Source organism: Homo sapiens, chromosome 2 (assembly GCF_000001405.40).
Source record: "Homo sapiens chromosome 2, GRCh38.p14 Primary Assembly".
In the NCBI taxonomy this organism is placed as follows: domain Eukaryota; kingdom Metazoa; phylum Chordata; class Mammalia; order Primates; family Hominidae; genus Homo; species Homo sapiens.
In genome coordinates this window covers 223059213-223075709 of record NC_000002.12, presented here as the reverse complement: position 1 = coordinate 223075709, position 16497 = coordinate 223059213, and the positions used below count along the sequence as shown (strand labels likewise).

Sequence of the window (16497 nt, the reverse complement as noted above, 5' to 3'; positions counted from 1 at the left end):
GCTTTCAATGTGATTTGTGGTTTGATAGGCATCTTGATCCTCTGTCTCTTCAATAGGAAGGGTATATGACTTTGCTTAAGCTGCCATGACAAGTACTACAAGCAGAAGGAGGAGAGAGAAGGCAGAAGTACTTGTAAACAACTAGATCTCATGAGAACTCACTCACTTGTCTTGAGAACAGCAAGGAGGAAGCCCCCCCTCCAACGGCACCCATGATCCAATTACCTCCCACTTAGCCCCTCCTCCAACAATGAGGATTACAATTCAACATGAGATTTCAGTGGGGACACAGATTCAACCGCATTACTTAGGTAATCAGCTTGCCCTTTCCATCTCTTAGGTTCAAAACCAATGGGGTTTCTACGGAGCAATCCATTCACATAATTATGGTGTTCTAAGATGTTCTTATAAGCAGGAAAGAGCACATAATAAATGGTGTCCAGAGCAAAGAATATCCTGCTCTTGGTTTTATTTAATGTAACAACTGAGACAATGTAAATATATATACACATATATATGTATGTATAATAATTCAAGTGTTAACTTCAATGTCTACATGCCTATAAATGGGAAAAGTTTAAGAAAAACTTTCTGGCCAGGAACGGTGGCTCACACCTGTAATCTCAGCAGTTTGGGAGGCCGAGGCAGATGGATCACCTGATGTCAGGAGTTCGAGACCAGCCTGGCCAACATGGCAAAACCCCATCTCTACTAAAAATACAAAAATTAGCTGGGCATGGTGGCACATGCTTGTAATCCCAGCTACTCGGGAAGCTGAGGCAGGAGAATCATTTGAACCTGGGAGGCGGAGGTTGCAGTGAGCCAAGATCGTGCCATTGCACTCCAGCTTGGGCAACAAGAGTGAAATTCCATCTCAGAAAAAAAAAAAAAGAAAAGAAAAATTTCTTACTCAACACTATATTATCTTTTGGACTGGTTTTTCCCTTTCAAATATAGGAAAAGAGTCTTTTTAAAATTTTTCTTCTCTAGATGAGTAACATACTACAGAAAATTCTGCTCTGAACTCTTAACCACTGGACTTCAAAGAAAACATCTCAAATCCATTACATGTTTCTCAAGCCTGTGATTTTATATACGTAAATATATGTTATCTAATATACGTATATAAAATATCTATGTATGTACTTCTCTCCACCTTGGATTTGTTTTCTGGCATTTCACAATTATTCCTGCCATAGCTCTCCAATTACTTCAATTCTCAAGAACCTTTCCTCTAAGTCAAGGCTGATTTTAGGCAATTTGAGTCTGACTTAAGGAGGGTAAAACCCAGGCCCAGTTTTGGTGTATTTTGAGACTCCCCATTCTACTGAAGGATGGATGTAGTTCTATTCAGCTCTTGAGGCCATAAAAAGATCAAATGGTCTGGAGGTGAAGAGCCTAGTGTATGGATCAGACTGCCAGGGGTGAAATCCCAGTTCCTACATTTATCAGCTGTGTGCCTTGAGGGATTACTCAACCTCTTTAGGCTTTAGTTTCCTCATCTAGCAAATGGGGCAATAGTAGCATCTCTCCTCTAGGGATATTCTAAAGATTAAGTGAGGTAATACATACAGAGCCCCTAGAAGAGGACTTTACAAGTTGTAAGGGCTCAATGAGTGTTCATCATTATTAAAGGTGGCTTTGGCATCCTCAAGAGAGAGCTGACAGGTTGGTCACAATTGGTGCAACCAAACTATGTGTTGGTTTGATAGCCCTGGGAAACTTAATAGCCTTTTGGCAAAGGCACATCCAGCCTGGAACAGCTGTAGGGCTCCCTCTTGGCCATGAAAAGAAGGAAAATGTTTTCTTATTTCCTGGCCACAGGGGAAAGTGTTTCTATTCCAATGTTGATTCCTCAGTAAGTGTACCATTCATTGATGCATTCAATAAATACTGATTGAGTTCTCACTGTGTACTAAGCACAGTATAAGACTTGCACATGGAGCAATTAGAAGAAATACAAATTTTTGCCATCTAGGAATTTACACTCTAGTTAGGGAAGACATACAATAAATTAAATAAGCCAAAGCACCTTTCACAATGTAGCTCAGAGAGAACGACAGGCCCTAGTGCCCTCTCATTATTCTGAGTTGACTTCTGCCTCAGACTAGATTCACTCTTCTCTTCTACTGAACACAGTAACTGTCCTAAAATGTATTGTTGTCATTGGTCGCCATACGTTTTGAGGCTTAAAGATGAAATAAGTCAGAGATTTCTTTTAAATATTCTAATTTTTTTTTCTGTAGAGCTACCTTATATGCTAAATGCTATGGAGTTTAGAGTCAAGAGATTTAAATTCTAGTCCTGCCTGACCAAACCCAACCATATCATTAAAATAATAAAATTTTGCCCTCTGAGTTTCACTTGTATAAAATAATAGAGTTGGCTGACCACTGGTTCTCAAAGTGTGATCCCTCTCTCCCCTCACTCAGCAAGGAGCATGAGCATTACCTAGGAATTTGCTAGAAGTACAGGTTCTCAGACCCCACCTCAGAACCATGTGAAGCACAAACTCCGACAGTAGAACCCAGATGTGAGTTTTAACAAGCCCTTCAGGTGACTCTGAATTCCCAACATGCTGAGGGAGAGAGAGGACATCCTTTTCTATCCTATCCTCAAAATTCAACTCAATGAGTCAAGATGAACCAGCATGCTAACTTCTGTGTGCCCACAGCGGTAGTTCCCTGACTGTAAAACCATAAAGGTCAAAGCAAACTATGCAACATCTATTTATCTTGGACACAGGTATCTATTTCTGTCTTCGTCTTTTCCAGAAAATATTAGAGTTACCTTCACCAGTCCATCTGGGATATCATGATCCTGAATACTTCAGTCCAGACTCAACTGTTATCTATGTCTTGCCAGAAAATATTAAAGACCCCTCAAACAAATCTCTTTAAACCATGGATCCTTTGAAGGGTAAAAGAATAGGTTGAGCCTGGGAGGACACCCAGTTTGAACATATTTGAAATAAAGATAAGCTTGGAATTCTCTTTTTTTAAAAAACAATGTCAGCACAAATCCTAAAAGAAATTTAAATTTTCTTATCCTTTCAGCCAGACCTCCTCCTGAACTTTTGTTCAATACTCAACATAATCACTGTATAATTCCAAAAATATGTATTACAATTTGTGGTCTTTTCAAGCTTTGGGTTTTTAAAAAATTTTTGCGCTCTTCTCTTCTGATGCTGTCTTTGGCCTGAATGTTAAGTATGCCTGATGACTCTTCATAAGCTAATTAGTGATGGTCATTCCCAGCCTCTTCCTATAAATTTCCTCATATCCTAAGTATTTATCTTCTTTTTGTGGTTGGCTCCATGTTAACAATGTCTGCCTTCACACAGTCTCCTTTCTACCAGTGTGTTCTAGCTTTTCACACAAAGCGAAACAAATGCACTCTCTCTCTCTCTCTCACACACACACACACACACACACACACACACACCATGGGGAAATGCAGTGGCCTTTAAAACATGACACAAGCATAACTCAACAGGACAATGAAACCACCACCACACACGACCAAATGAGGAGCAACAGGAATGAGAGGGACTCCTGGGAGACCCTTAAGCCAGAATGTTTAGGGGAATTCAAACAGGACATGCATGTGAAGTTGCAAATCTTCCTTTACTGTTTCTGAGTATTGAAAACTGACATTCTATTTCCTTTCCACACTCCAGACACTTTTGCGTACTCTCAGTACACTCGGTACATGGATATTGAATATTCCTTCTTCTCAACACTCTTCCTACTATCTTGTTCCAAGTCATCACAACTCCATGTCTGGCCTATTGCTGTTCTCAGCAAAGTTGCCTTCTGCTTTTCCAGTGAATATTTGATATTGACAAATTCCATTCAATGGGTGGAAGTGTGCACTGTTGTAGGAAGGTGATATGGTTTGGCTGTGTCCCCAGACAAATTTCACCTTGAATTGTAATAATCCCCACATGTCAAGGGTAGGGCCAGGTGGAGATAATTGAATCATGGGGGCGGTTTCCCCCATATGAGATCTGATGGTTTTATAAATGGGAGTTCCCCTGCACAAGCTGTCTTACCTGCCACCATGTAAGACATATGTTTGCTTCTCCTTTTCCTTCCACCATGCTTGTGAGGCATCCCTAGCCATGTGGAACTGTGAGTCCCTTAAACCTCTTTCCTTTATAAACCACCCAGTCTTGGGTGTATCTTTATTAGCAGCATGAGAACAGACTAATACAGAAGGATATTTTACTATTTCAAAGATTATTTAGAGAAGTCCACAAGGAGTTACTCAACAAAACAGATAAAAGCAGATAGTGCCAAGTTCTCGATGCACTTTCTCTTAAAACTTTTCATTCTCAGAATAGAATTGGGTTTTCCAGGAATATTCAATTGGGATCGCTTGGACATATATCAGCCTAGTCACTCTGTTTGGAGCCGATCTTTTTTCTGTCATCAGGGGAAACATTTTTTGATCGTAGCATGGATAAAATTTCAGAATAAGAACCCATTTGTGGACAGCTATCTCATGAAAGCTATAAACATTTTTTTCAGTTGTTTGTTAACATGACCCTAAAGAAAATTTGGCAAAGAAGAACCTAGCTCACTTTAAGACCTCAGGTTTAGTGTGGTTTTTTTTGCATAATGTTAATATTCTACAAAACTACCTGGCTCTCAAAGCAATAGAAAATAAGATATGTTAACAAAATAAACAAACTAACAGTAACCAGAATCAAGAATTGTGAATTTAATTATGAAAAGTAAAATTCAAGAAATGAATGAATCAGCTGTCTCAGAATATTCTCAGAAGTGGAGATGTCCAAGTCAATATTGTGACCAGTGTAACACACCAATATTCATCAAGAAATTACTTTTTAATATTTATAATATTCTCATCTAAAAACTGGACATGGGATTAAACTTGCTATTCTCTAAGGCCCTCCCAGCTATAAGAGTCTATTATTCTGTGATTTCGTGACATCTTTGAGGTACAGCTGCAAACTTCCCTTGAAGATTTGTTGGCTTAGTAAGATGCTAGATGGGTTCCCAAAACTACAATCCGGAGGACTGATACTGGGTCTCCCTACTCAGGCAGGGTTTCGCTACAACAACTACAGATAATTAGTTTTATCAAAAGTCTTAAATTTTGTATTAAATGTGCCACTAAATCACAAGCAATCAACAAGTATGGGATCATAGTTAAACTATAAATTTGGCAAAAAACAAGACATTTATTGAAAAACCATTACTTGCCTTGTAAAGCCATTTATATGGTACTGGTTTGCTAGAAGATGGTGGGAAAGACCTCATAAAAAAGTTGGGGAGGGGGATTTGAGAAGAATCAACTAATTAAAAATGTCTAAGTTCAGACAAACTCCCTGGAGAGAGCCACTTATGGAATTTTTATAAGGTTCTGGGAAAGGTCAACGATACCAAAACCACTACCTACTCTAATCAGCCTTCCACAGGCCTCAAATTCCCCCAGGTCTTATTCTTCTCTGCATCTTTTTTGGATTAGGTACTTAGTGAAACTTTGAAATATTATCAACCATTGCCACCTTAACATAAATTCATAAATTAGGTTTGTCAGATTAGCTACTCCCACATTCAGCAAGACTCTGTGAGAGAATAGAAACAGATAAATGATGAAATGGGGCAGAATTTGTCTAAGTCTAGAACCTTTAAAGGGTGGGAAGAATGCAGTGCCACAGTGGGGACCCTAAGATTCTAAAATAAAGGGAAGAAAAAAGACAAGTTTAGGAGTAGAGAGAAAGAGAAGGAAACAACTATTTGACAGGTATCCACTATGTGCTGGGCATGCTTCTAGAAACTTTACATTTATTTACTCACTTTATCCCCAGAAGAGCCTACTGGTTAGATATTATTAATCCCATTTCTCGCTGGTGAAACCATAGACTTGAAGGGGATAACAAATTTGTTAAAGATTGCAGAGCTAATAAATGGTAGAATCTGGGTACCAACCCATATCTCCATGACTCCAGAGCCTGGCCATGTTCCTCTCTACTCCAATGCTTTCTTGAATCCAGAGGCCTTATAAGCTCTGCGCTCCCAGAGAGTCCAGCACAGCATTTTACCACTTACAAGTGAAAACCCTTGAGGAAAAGAGGAATGGAAACACCAAGAGCCAAATTTGCCTCTTTCACAATTTTGCTTTAAACCGATGGTATTCAAATTTTGCTTTTAACCATGGAAACTTGTCTTCAAAATAACCTTAAGCACAAACTCAATCCACCCACCATGGAAGGCCCAAAGCACATTCACGAACCATATGGGAGCCGTGTAAAAGTCTCAAAATGACTGCAGAAAAGATGTGAACAAGCATTCCACAAATAAGAATATACAAATGGCCAGCAAGCATAAGAAAGGTTGCTTAAAATCATTATTCATTAGGGAAATGCATACTAAAACACCAATGTAATACCACTACATTCTGACTTGAGTAGCTAAAATTAAAGATACGAGGTAAACAAGGATGTTGAACAACTGAAACTCTTACATATGGCTAATGGGAGTGCAAAATGGTATGATCACCTTGGAAAACAGTTTGACATTTTCTTATAAAATTAAAACATATCATTGCAATATGACCCGGCAATTTCACTCCTAAGTATTTTTGCCCAAAAGAAATAAAAATATGTATACATCAAGTCTTGTACGTGTATGTTTTCCGCAGCTTTAAAATTAGAAACAGCCCAAATGTCCATGAACATGAAAGGATAAACAAATTGTGGTATTCCATCCAATGAAATACTAATCAGCAGTTAAAAGGAAAGAATGACTGATATGCCCAACTACATTGATGAATCTCAAGAATGTTACTCTGATTGATAAAAGTCAGACACAAAAGAGTACATACGGCATGAGTCCACATATATGAAACTCTAGAAAAGGCAAATCTAGTCTACAGTGTTGAAAGCAGATCAGTGGTTTTCTAAGGCTGGGGGTGTGGGAAGAGGAAGGACCGTGAAGCGGTACAGTGTTTTCAGGTGATGATGGTATTATGTATCTTGATTGTAGTGATGGCTATTTGGGTGTCGGAGTTTGTCAAAACTCAAAGAACTGTATACATAAAAGTGTGCATTTTAACTCTAATAAGGTTGGTTTAAAAATATGTATTATTCCAATTACCAAGGAATTGTTGAGGCAGACCTGTGTCCCATCATATAATCATTCAGGTAACATTTTGGACCTTTCTCCTCATTCAACTATTTTTATTTCCTCCAGTCTCTAAGTTAGCTCTGCTCTCCTCTACAGCCCCATGAAGAATGGCAACCCTATCTGTCCTGCAAACTTTCAGCCGACTTCATTATGAAAATACCCTAGGACCAAAGCCAGAGCTAATAAGCATCTTAGACCACTTGGAAGAAGAAAGGATATTTTTTTGGCTCTGGATAATTGAACTTCACTTCAAATCAGAATCTAAGCTATTATTTTCTCTATACTTAGTCCAAATCCTGAGATTCCTGAAATTCATCCACAGTTATTGTCTACCTGATGCCAAAATGTCCTGATGAAAAGTGAAACATTCAGCCAGTTGTGTGAATTCTTTGTCCCGAAATCTAAAAGCTCAGCTATTTGGCAGGATAGCAGAACAACTGAACAGTCAACATATTTTTACTGTGGATGGAGGAGCTTTAGGATTGTGTAGATAGGATCTTCTGCAAAAATCAAAATGCAAAGGCCCAGTGTCCCTCATTAGTGACCAAGTAAAATTCAGAGCATTAAAATCACAGAAGTTTAAAGCACAAAGGAATCCTGCCCAACTCTCTTTGTTTACAGATAAAGAAATTGAGGTAACTCCTATTCATTCTTTAGAACCTAGATCGAATGCCATTACCTATGAGGAGGCTTTCTCCACCTCTCCAGCTTATTCTCTACTCTGGCTCTCATAGCAGACAACCAACAACCTATTCTAATACTTACCCCTTCATATGAAATGTATTTGTTTGTACATCTGTCTCCTCCTCTAATGCTGTAAACTACCTAAGTACAGGACCATGAGCTCTACACACCCAACTTCTAGCACATAGAGGATACTCAAAGAGTGATTTTTGGATAGACTTGAGCTGAGTATCTGAATACATTTACACTCCAAATACATTCTATCTCCATATCCATGTTGAAATGGTGATAATGAAATTCAAAAGAGATTCTTGACTTATTCACAATTAGTACTCCACACTAAAAACTAAGAATCTTAAGGTTTCATGTTCTTTGGACAAAGAGAACAGTAATAATGTGATTAGTAATAAGACAGCACAGTTTCTGGCATGTAAAAGGAACATTGTAATATAAGGAAATAAAAATACAATGACAAATTTTTGCTATATTAGTATCAATATAAACATAATAGTAATATTTGAGTGCTTACTATATGTGAGACCCTCTTCTAAGAATTATATGTATTTAACTCTTTTAACATAATTGAAAAGCATCTTTATGCTTATCCTTAAAACTAAATACAACTTGATTTAACATTTTGTGGCTGATCTCCGTGTCCTCTCCAGCTGTGACTAAATAGAAAACCAAACAAAATTTTTAAACGGCAGTTGTCAAACTTTCCCTAACAATCTTTATTTTCAAATTTCTTGCCCATAGCCTATCATGACTTTCCATTTTTAAAAATCAGATCTGCTTTAAAAACTGAAAATACTCTTTAGACGTCAAATTGTTCTTCTGTAGTGACATGTTGATCAAAAGTTTAAGGAGCTAAAAGCATGAAGATTACATTTCTTTCAGTGAAAACATGCACTTTAAAATCTAGAAGAATATTTTCCATTTTTGTGTTGTCTGTCACCATGGAGCTAAAGAAGATTCAGTAGATAAGTCAGGGTATGAACCTGACACGATAAACACCAATGAGGAAGACTGGACTGGAAATTTTCATAAAACGAAAAAGAAGAAAAAGAAATCGGTTGATTTTTTTTTTTCCGTGAAAGCCTTAAATTCAATTGCATGTGTTCACTCATAACTCCTTTGACAAACAAAATAAATAGTTTATTTCTTTTTTTTATTTAAAAAGAAAGGGTTTCAAGCACTTGAAAGTACCATCTAGCTATCTTCGCTAGCTAAGTATTTTCAGCCCTAAAAGAAAAATTGTCTTGTTTTTCTGTGAATCTTTCAGGGCACTAGAACAAAATGATCTTGCACACAATAAAGATTCAAAAATGAATGCTGAATTGATGAATAAATGAATCTAAATGGCCTTGCTCTTTTTTGAAGTCACTTTTCTGCATCTACAGTAAGTACTGAAATGCCTATTCTATGCAAATCAACAGCTACCAAATTTCTCACCCTAAGTCACTAAGGCTCTGTTCAGACCACTCCTAGTCACGGGTAAGTGCCTCAGAGTCTCCTTTTCTTCTCCCTCCAGGACCCACCCAGTCCTTCACCCCTCAGAGCCCCGGTTACTTCTCTTGAATGTGGTCTTTATTTCTAGCACAACTATCCTGGAGAACCGCCATCTCAGTTCAGAGGATAATTTCATTTCCATTTTGTAGTACAACAGACTTGCCCTTTCTCTGAATGACGCTGAGAAGACAACTGAGTTAATTTTGCTGGGAGTTTAGAATTTTTAAAAGTTCATGACTTTCCCAATTGGTTATAAGTTTTCAAACTCATGAAGAAATGCAGAATTTAAGTGAAACCTCATATAAATGAATTTAAGTGAAACCTCACATCAGGGGGAACAATAATTACATAATTTTACTATCATTTTGTGGAAAAAGAGGAAAGACTATAATGCAGAGTAGAAAAAAAATACATGTGTTTGTATCAGTTAGATGCATAGTTAGAACAAATCCTAACTATGCCCCTTAGTAATAATGTGACCTTGGATGCTTCCCAAAGCCCCAATTTCTTGCGTGTAAGATGAACAGTATAGGGCCATTGTGAGGATCAAATGAGATTAAATATTAAAAGGGACACTTAATGGACATTCACTAAATGTTAACGCACCACACGTATAACTCAGGATGCAAAGGCAGTGACCACTGAAACTGTAGATCTTAAACACTTTGGACACCTCTTGCGGCGTTTTGGAAAGATGTCTGAGAAAACCATATTGTTTTCCTTGGGACTATGCTCCTGTCACATCTGTAGTCAAGACCATGGCTACTTTGCAGTGCCTCTTAGTTGGGTGACATGGAAGGACAGCATAGAAGTGCAACATGGATTGATTTTAGGACAGAAAACAACTATAATACTGAGAAATAATTCATCTCTTTTACAGCAAAGTCTAGAATAGGGACACTACATTTACGGCTGTGTGTGTGTGTATGTGTGTGTGTAAGAGAAACAGAGACTTTTCGCCTATTCGACATCTCCCTCAAACTCTACTGGCCCAGAAAAAGGGAGGCTATGACTGAAGCCGTGTAAGAAACCACATAAGTTTATTCTTAACTTTCAACCTTGAAAGTAACCAAGTCCCGGAATTTTAAGAGCACTTAAAGAAAGGGCTTTCAAGGATAAATTTTGCCTTACACTCTGATTTTAGAACCTAATCCCTGAAGTAAAATCAGGCCCCATTTTCTACTAAAAATATGATTTCCAGTAGTAAAGTACCAACATTTTAAATTCACATGGCAGTTCTAGTTTTTTTCCTAATTTGGTCTTTGTTTTAAAAGTATAGTTTACTTTATTTGAAGACCAAAATTACATTTTTTAAATTGAAATATAATAATATTCCTTTAGCCTTCTCCTTTTCAGATGATTTTAAGCTGTCAAAGTCCTAATAGTTAATTATTAGTGCCACAAAATAAATTTTTTATTACCTATTTATTAAACTATGAAATTATTACAAATAGCTTCAATTCATCTGCTCTGGTTCTTGGTGCACCATTGCTTCTCTGGTCTATAATATCAGTCCCTGGGCCACCTAAAGCCACTTTCCTTTACAAGTTGGAGATGGCCATCTTGTTTGTGTGTGATTTTGTAGGACCGATCTCTATCTCTTTATGGACCCCTATTAGGAAATGCAAGGAGGGTTTTAAACCAGACAGCAGTTTTTAATGCTACATTTTTATAATGGTGGAAGCCCACAAAGTGACTATGATTTTAATATTATCTACTCTCTACAAGAATATTTTCATCCACTCACTTCTTCAGAAACCTGCTTTTATTAAGGCAATTTGAATTACAACCAATATACACAAAAGGTACTGTAATCAGTTTCTCAACACCCAGAAATTAAACATAATCAGCTAAAATAACATCTTGACTTCATTATGACATGTTCCAGATTAAAAAGCACCATTACATACAATCATACACCCAATCAATTTTCAAGCACCTAGAAAAATTGTGTTCCTGAATAAAAATCACCTTAGAGAAATATAAAAATTCAGGGCAATCCTAAATACAAGGTCACTCTGTTGTCTTTGGTGCTTTTTTATATAACCTGAAGAGAAAATCATGGAAAGGCAGAGATTTGGCAGCAAAGTATATGCACTCTGATGTTTGCAGAGAGAGAGAGAGAATGTTATGTCACTTTTATTCCCTGCTTTCCAAAGCAGCCCTATAACACAACGCCAGGCAACTTCTCCAGGCTGGCTTAACATTCTCCCTGGATAACTTTCAAAGAAATCCACTATGAACCTGGGAAAACGTCAGTCCCTACAGAAATACAGAAAGGAACAGTCATCCCATACCACCAAAAGGAGGGAAAGTTTATCTGCAACCTAAACCAAGTGGCAGTCAATGGCAAGTAAAAAAGAAAGAGGGCTGTAATTCTGACTCCTTGAATTAGACAGAGGATACAGTACTTTGCTTTTCACAACCAAACTTCGTGAGTTAGTTTATAATGACAATGACCTATCCCTCAACAGGCATCAGTCTTTTATACCTATGATATCTCTATCCAGCTACTCTACAAATTCTGCCTCTTGAAACAGAAAACCAAATACCACATGTTCTCATTTATAAGTTGGGTACACGGGTCATAAAAATGAAAACAGTAGTCACTGGGAAGTCAAGAGTGAGGAGGGAGGATGAGGGGTAAAGATGGAAAATAACTACCTAGAGGGTGCTATGCTCACTAGCTGGGTAATGTGTTCCAAACCTCAGCATCATGCAATATACCCATGTAACAAACCTGCACATGTACCCGCTGTTCTAAAATATAAAAGTTGGAAAAAAAAATAAAGCTATCACACACACACACACACACACACACAAAACCTGCATCTTAGGTACTAATCACCTGCAAGTCATCAAAAGGAAGATTCTTCCCCTCCCGCAACCTCATTTCTCTATGGCTGACCACCTCCACTTTCTAGAAAATCTCTGCTTGCTCAGTTCCTGAGCATTCTGCCATGCTGATTTTACTTCTTGAACTGCTCCTCCTCTTTCTCCCTTTCCTCTCCCAGCCCCCAATAATTCACTGCTCCCTGAGGGGCTGTTCTTTGCCTTCCTCTCCAGTCCTTCTCACCTTTGGCTATTTCAGTTGTGCTCAAGATTTTTAGGACCTGTGTCTATGTGAGAGGCTCCCAAATCACTGTCTGTGGTGCCAGCTTATCAAAAAATTTCCATACTGATTTTCCAAATGCTTTCTGGATATCATGTCAGCACCTCCAACTCAAAATGCCCAACACAGTAAGTCCTGGAAAGGATTTTTATTATTTGCACTTCCACTCTCTCAATTACAGACTCAACTCTCCCCTTCAAGCTCTAATATTTGACTGGTTGCAAAATCCTGTCAATTTCAACTCCTCAGTATTTCTAGCTTCTATGTCTTCATTTCACCTGCCATTGCCCCACTTCAGGCACTTGTCTCACGTAGAACCCTGCTTTTATTTAACTCTCTTCCTCAATCCATCTTACAGAATGGAAAAAAATTACAAGCAACGTGATGATAGAGACTGGGTTTTTGTCACTGTCCATCTAGTGCCTTGCATGCTCCATTCCAAAGATTAAATTATTTTTTAATTTATATAAACACAGCTCTGATCATGTCTTTTCCTGTTTCAACATTCCTCTGGTCCTCGGTATTTTTCTGATTAAAGAAATAATTTTTTGGTGCCTACAGGGAGCCTGACTCATGCTAATAAATTCACAAGAGACTAACTGGTAAGCCAGACTATGGCTTTGTGAATTTCTTATAGAAATTATGGCTGATTTAAGAACCAAGATCACATTGGTGGGCCCCCAGGAGACAGGATATATATATTAAGTGACTCAGTGAATAGTTATCAACCTCATTAGTAGTTGTCTGTGTGCTAGGCTACTTCTTTTACTAGACTGAACTCTCTTTGAGCCTTTTATTCCTGGTATCTCCCTTATGTACTGAAGTGCCCGTCACAAAATCAGCACTTAATAGAGAACTGTTGGATGAACCAATGAATGATTCTAAACCAAGGGGATCAAATGATCAGAGGAATATTTACGTCAATCTGGACCAACAAGATGGATTGCTTTCCTTCACACCAGGAATATTTCTGCCTGTTAAAAGACTATCCTCTGTGCTGGGCATCTGTGAAAACTGTGATGAATTTTTACTCCTTCCTCTTCTCCACACAGATCCCTGTTTTATGCTCTCCATAGCTCTATCTCATTGTCAAGGTAAAATCCAAATGGGTAGAGAATCCTTCATTGATTTGTTTTATAAGTTATTTTTCAGGTGGTATCCTGATGTCAGTGTGGACCACCCTGCTAAATTTGAGAAATATCAAAATCAATTTAAATAAACATACTTTGAGGGATGGCTTTTTTTCTCACTTCAAGAATAAAAACTTTCTGGCCTTGTTTTTTTTAAAGAAGTACTTTTTTGGGTAAACAATGACCATGAGAATGGAAAGAGATTTCAGGGAGGTCCTGGTGACCTAAGGTAGGGGACAGAAGCTTGAGTTTGACCCATGTTTGCACCCATGTTCTGTGACTAATGGATTATGGGAAATGTAAGTTGAGGGACAGGTTTTTGGTGGGAAGATGGTGAGTTTGAGTTTTGACATCAGGAATGTGAGGTGTTTATTGGACATAGGTGGATACAGCCAGAGGCATTGATGCTTGTGAGAGAAGTCCAGGCTACAGCTGAGTGACTAAGATCTGGAGACGGAGAGGCAGCACAGCAGGCAGGTAGGTGTATTAACTCTGGAGCCAAATTGCCAGGTTCAAATCCCAATTCTTCTGCTAAATAGCTGTATAACCAGGTCAATGTTCTTAACCTCTCTGTACTTCCATTTTTTTACCTCTAAAACTGGCTTTAAAATCCCTATCACGGCCAGGCACAGTAGCACATGCCTGTAATCCCAGCACTTTGGGAGGCTGAGGCGGGAGGATCAGTTGAGGTCAGGAGTTCGAGACCAGCCTGGCCAACATGATGAAACCCCATCTCTACTAAAAATACAAAAATTAGCCAGGCATGGTGGCATGTGCCTGTAACTCGGGAGGCTTGGGCAGGAGAATTGTTTGAACCCAGGAGGCAGAGGTTGCAGTGAGCCGAGATCATGCCACTGCACTCCAGCCTAGGCGACAGAGTAAGACTCCATCTCAGAAAAGAAAAAAAATAAATAAAAAATCCTATCTCTTAGCTTGTCGTGAGAATTAAATGTCATGAGAACAGTGCCTGGCACATAGTAAACACTAGATAGTCATTTGCTATAATTATTTACTTAATAGTTGAAGGTTTGAGGGCAGATGAGATCACCCAAAGAGAAAATGTAAAATAAGAAGAAAAGAACATAATGAGAGAGACTTCTGCAGAATGCCAGCTCAAACTAGACATTTAGACATAAAAATAATACTATAGGGTTCTCAGTCTCAAGAAGTTTATAATCCTATGGCAAAGACAGCATAACTTCTTCTGTAATCGATGCTTGAGGACAATGGGAGAGGAGAATTAAAAAGGAGAAGATTTTGAGAAAGAAACAGAATCTCTATTCAGGCAACACATCCTGGCAGAAGTACTGAATGGAAAAGGAAGATAGAAATGAGGGAGAAATTATTCCTTCCATATCAGGGCTAAGCTTATAAAAATGATGATTGGTGATGTGCCTGTTGGTTTCTGCATTACCTGAAACCTCAAGCTAAAGCTGAACCTCCAGGGTTTTCCTTCAGGAGTCATCAGTCGTGGGAGCTCTCTGCACTGGGGGAGGAGGGTTGAATGTGAACCACTCTGGCGCTGGAGCTGAGCAGAAAAATATGCAAAAATCAAAAACAAACCCAAAATCCAAAAGCCAGTACACCTCATACAGAGCAATTGCATTCAAACCTGTTTGACAATTTCCCTCCTCCTATTTATGACTTCTTCCCCTTTGTTAAAGTTTCCAGTGATGTCACCTTGCACAGCTTTGGGCAAATGTGTTTACTCTTGCCCGCTCAGATCCAACCTACCACAAAGTGCAATAAGTGCCAGGGTTTGACCAGGAAAAAAAGAAGCCAATTGCCAGCAAGGCTCACAGGACTGGTAAATAGAGGCAGCACCAATGACTTAATGCTACTCTGGACAGCTCAAGGAGAGAGGCTCAAGGGAAAAGACCATCTGGGTCTTTTGTCTTCACCGAGCCTTGGAAGAGGCCTCCATGGCCACGTCCACCACAGGGTGTAAATCCCCATGGTGGGCATGACCACGGAGGAGACCTGAGTTTTGCTCTTGTTGTCCAGGCTGGAGTACAATGGCACGATCTTGGCTCACTGCAACCTCTGCCTCCCAGGTTCAAGTGATTCTCCTGCCTCAGCCTCCTGAGTAGCTGGTATTACAGGCGCCCACCACCACGCTTGGCTAATTTTTGTAGTTTTAGTAGAGACGGGGTTTCACCACATTGGCCAGGCTGGTCTCGAACTTCTGACCTCAGGTGATCCACCCACCTTGGCCTCCCAAAGTGCTGGGATTACAGGAGTAAGCCATCACGCCTGGCCTCCCTCTATGACTTTGAACAAATCACTTAACTGCCATGAGTTTTAATTTCCCTGTCACTAAATGGAGAGGTCAGCTTAGATGATCCAGAAGGTGTCTTCCAACATTTAGCATCTCTTAAATGCGGTCATATCCTGTATCAATCTGGTGGGTGAGATTATGGTGAAGTAACAAAAAAACCAACTTTTCCATCTTTCACTGTAACCTAGATTTATTATTGTTTCATGCAAAGCCAGCTGCAGATTTGGGCACCCATCCAGAGCCATTGCTTTTCATGTAGTAACTCACCATTCCAGGCTGACACAGGCTCCACCCATTACCTATATCTTCTGGAACATATGTTCTTTTTGGTGACATGCAGGTGAAGTGAGTGACTCGGGAATCCTATGTGGACTTTTCACTGACTCAGCTCAGAGGTGACATATATCACTTGTAGTCTGTTTACAGAGAATGAATCACATGGCCCTGCCTAGCCCCTGCTGATAGGAGAGGAGGAGTGGGAGAGGGGTTGAGAAGTGGAACCTTTCATGTTCTCAGAAGAGGAAGAGAACTGAATATTGGTGAATACTGGTAATGTCTAGACACAGCCTCTATCAAACACAGACCCTTATAATTTTTCCAGCTGCTTTATAAGCAGTTCTGACAATG

At 39.0% G+C, this 16497-nt stretch overlaps 1 long non-coding RNA gene across 2 annotated transcripts in view; it reads right to left on the bottom strand.

Moving 5' to 3' along the window:
* The window catches only part of LOC124907986 (uncharacterized), a 61427-nt gene extending 46312 nt beyond the window's left edge, over nucleotides 1-15115 (bottom strand). For both annotated transcript variants that reach the window (XR_007088096.1, XR_007088097.1), the window contains exon 1: nucleotides 15007-15115. This is a non-coding gene — a long non-coding RNA (uncharacterized LOC124907986). The remainder of the gene's footprint in view (nucleotides 1-15006) is intronic.
* Nucleotides 15116-16497: the final 1382 nt, after the last annotated feature.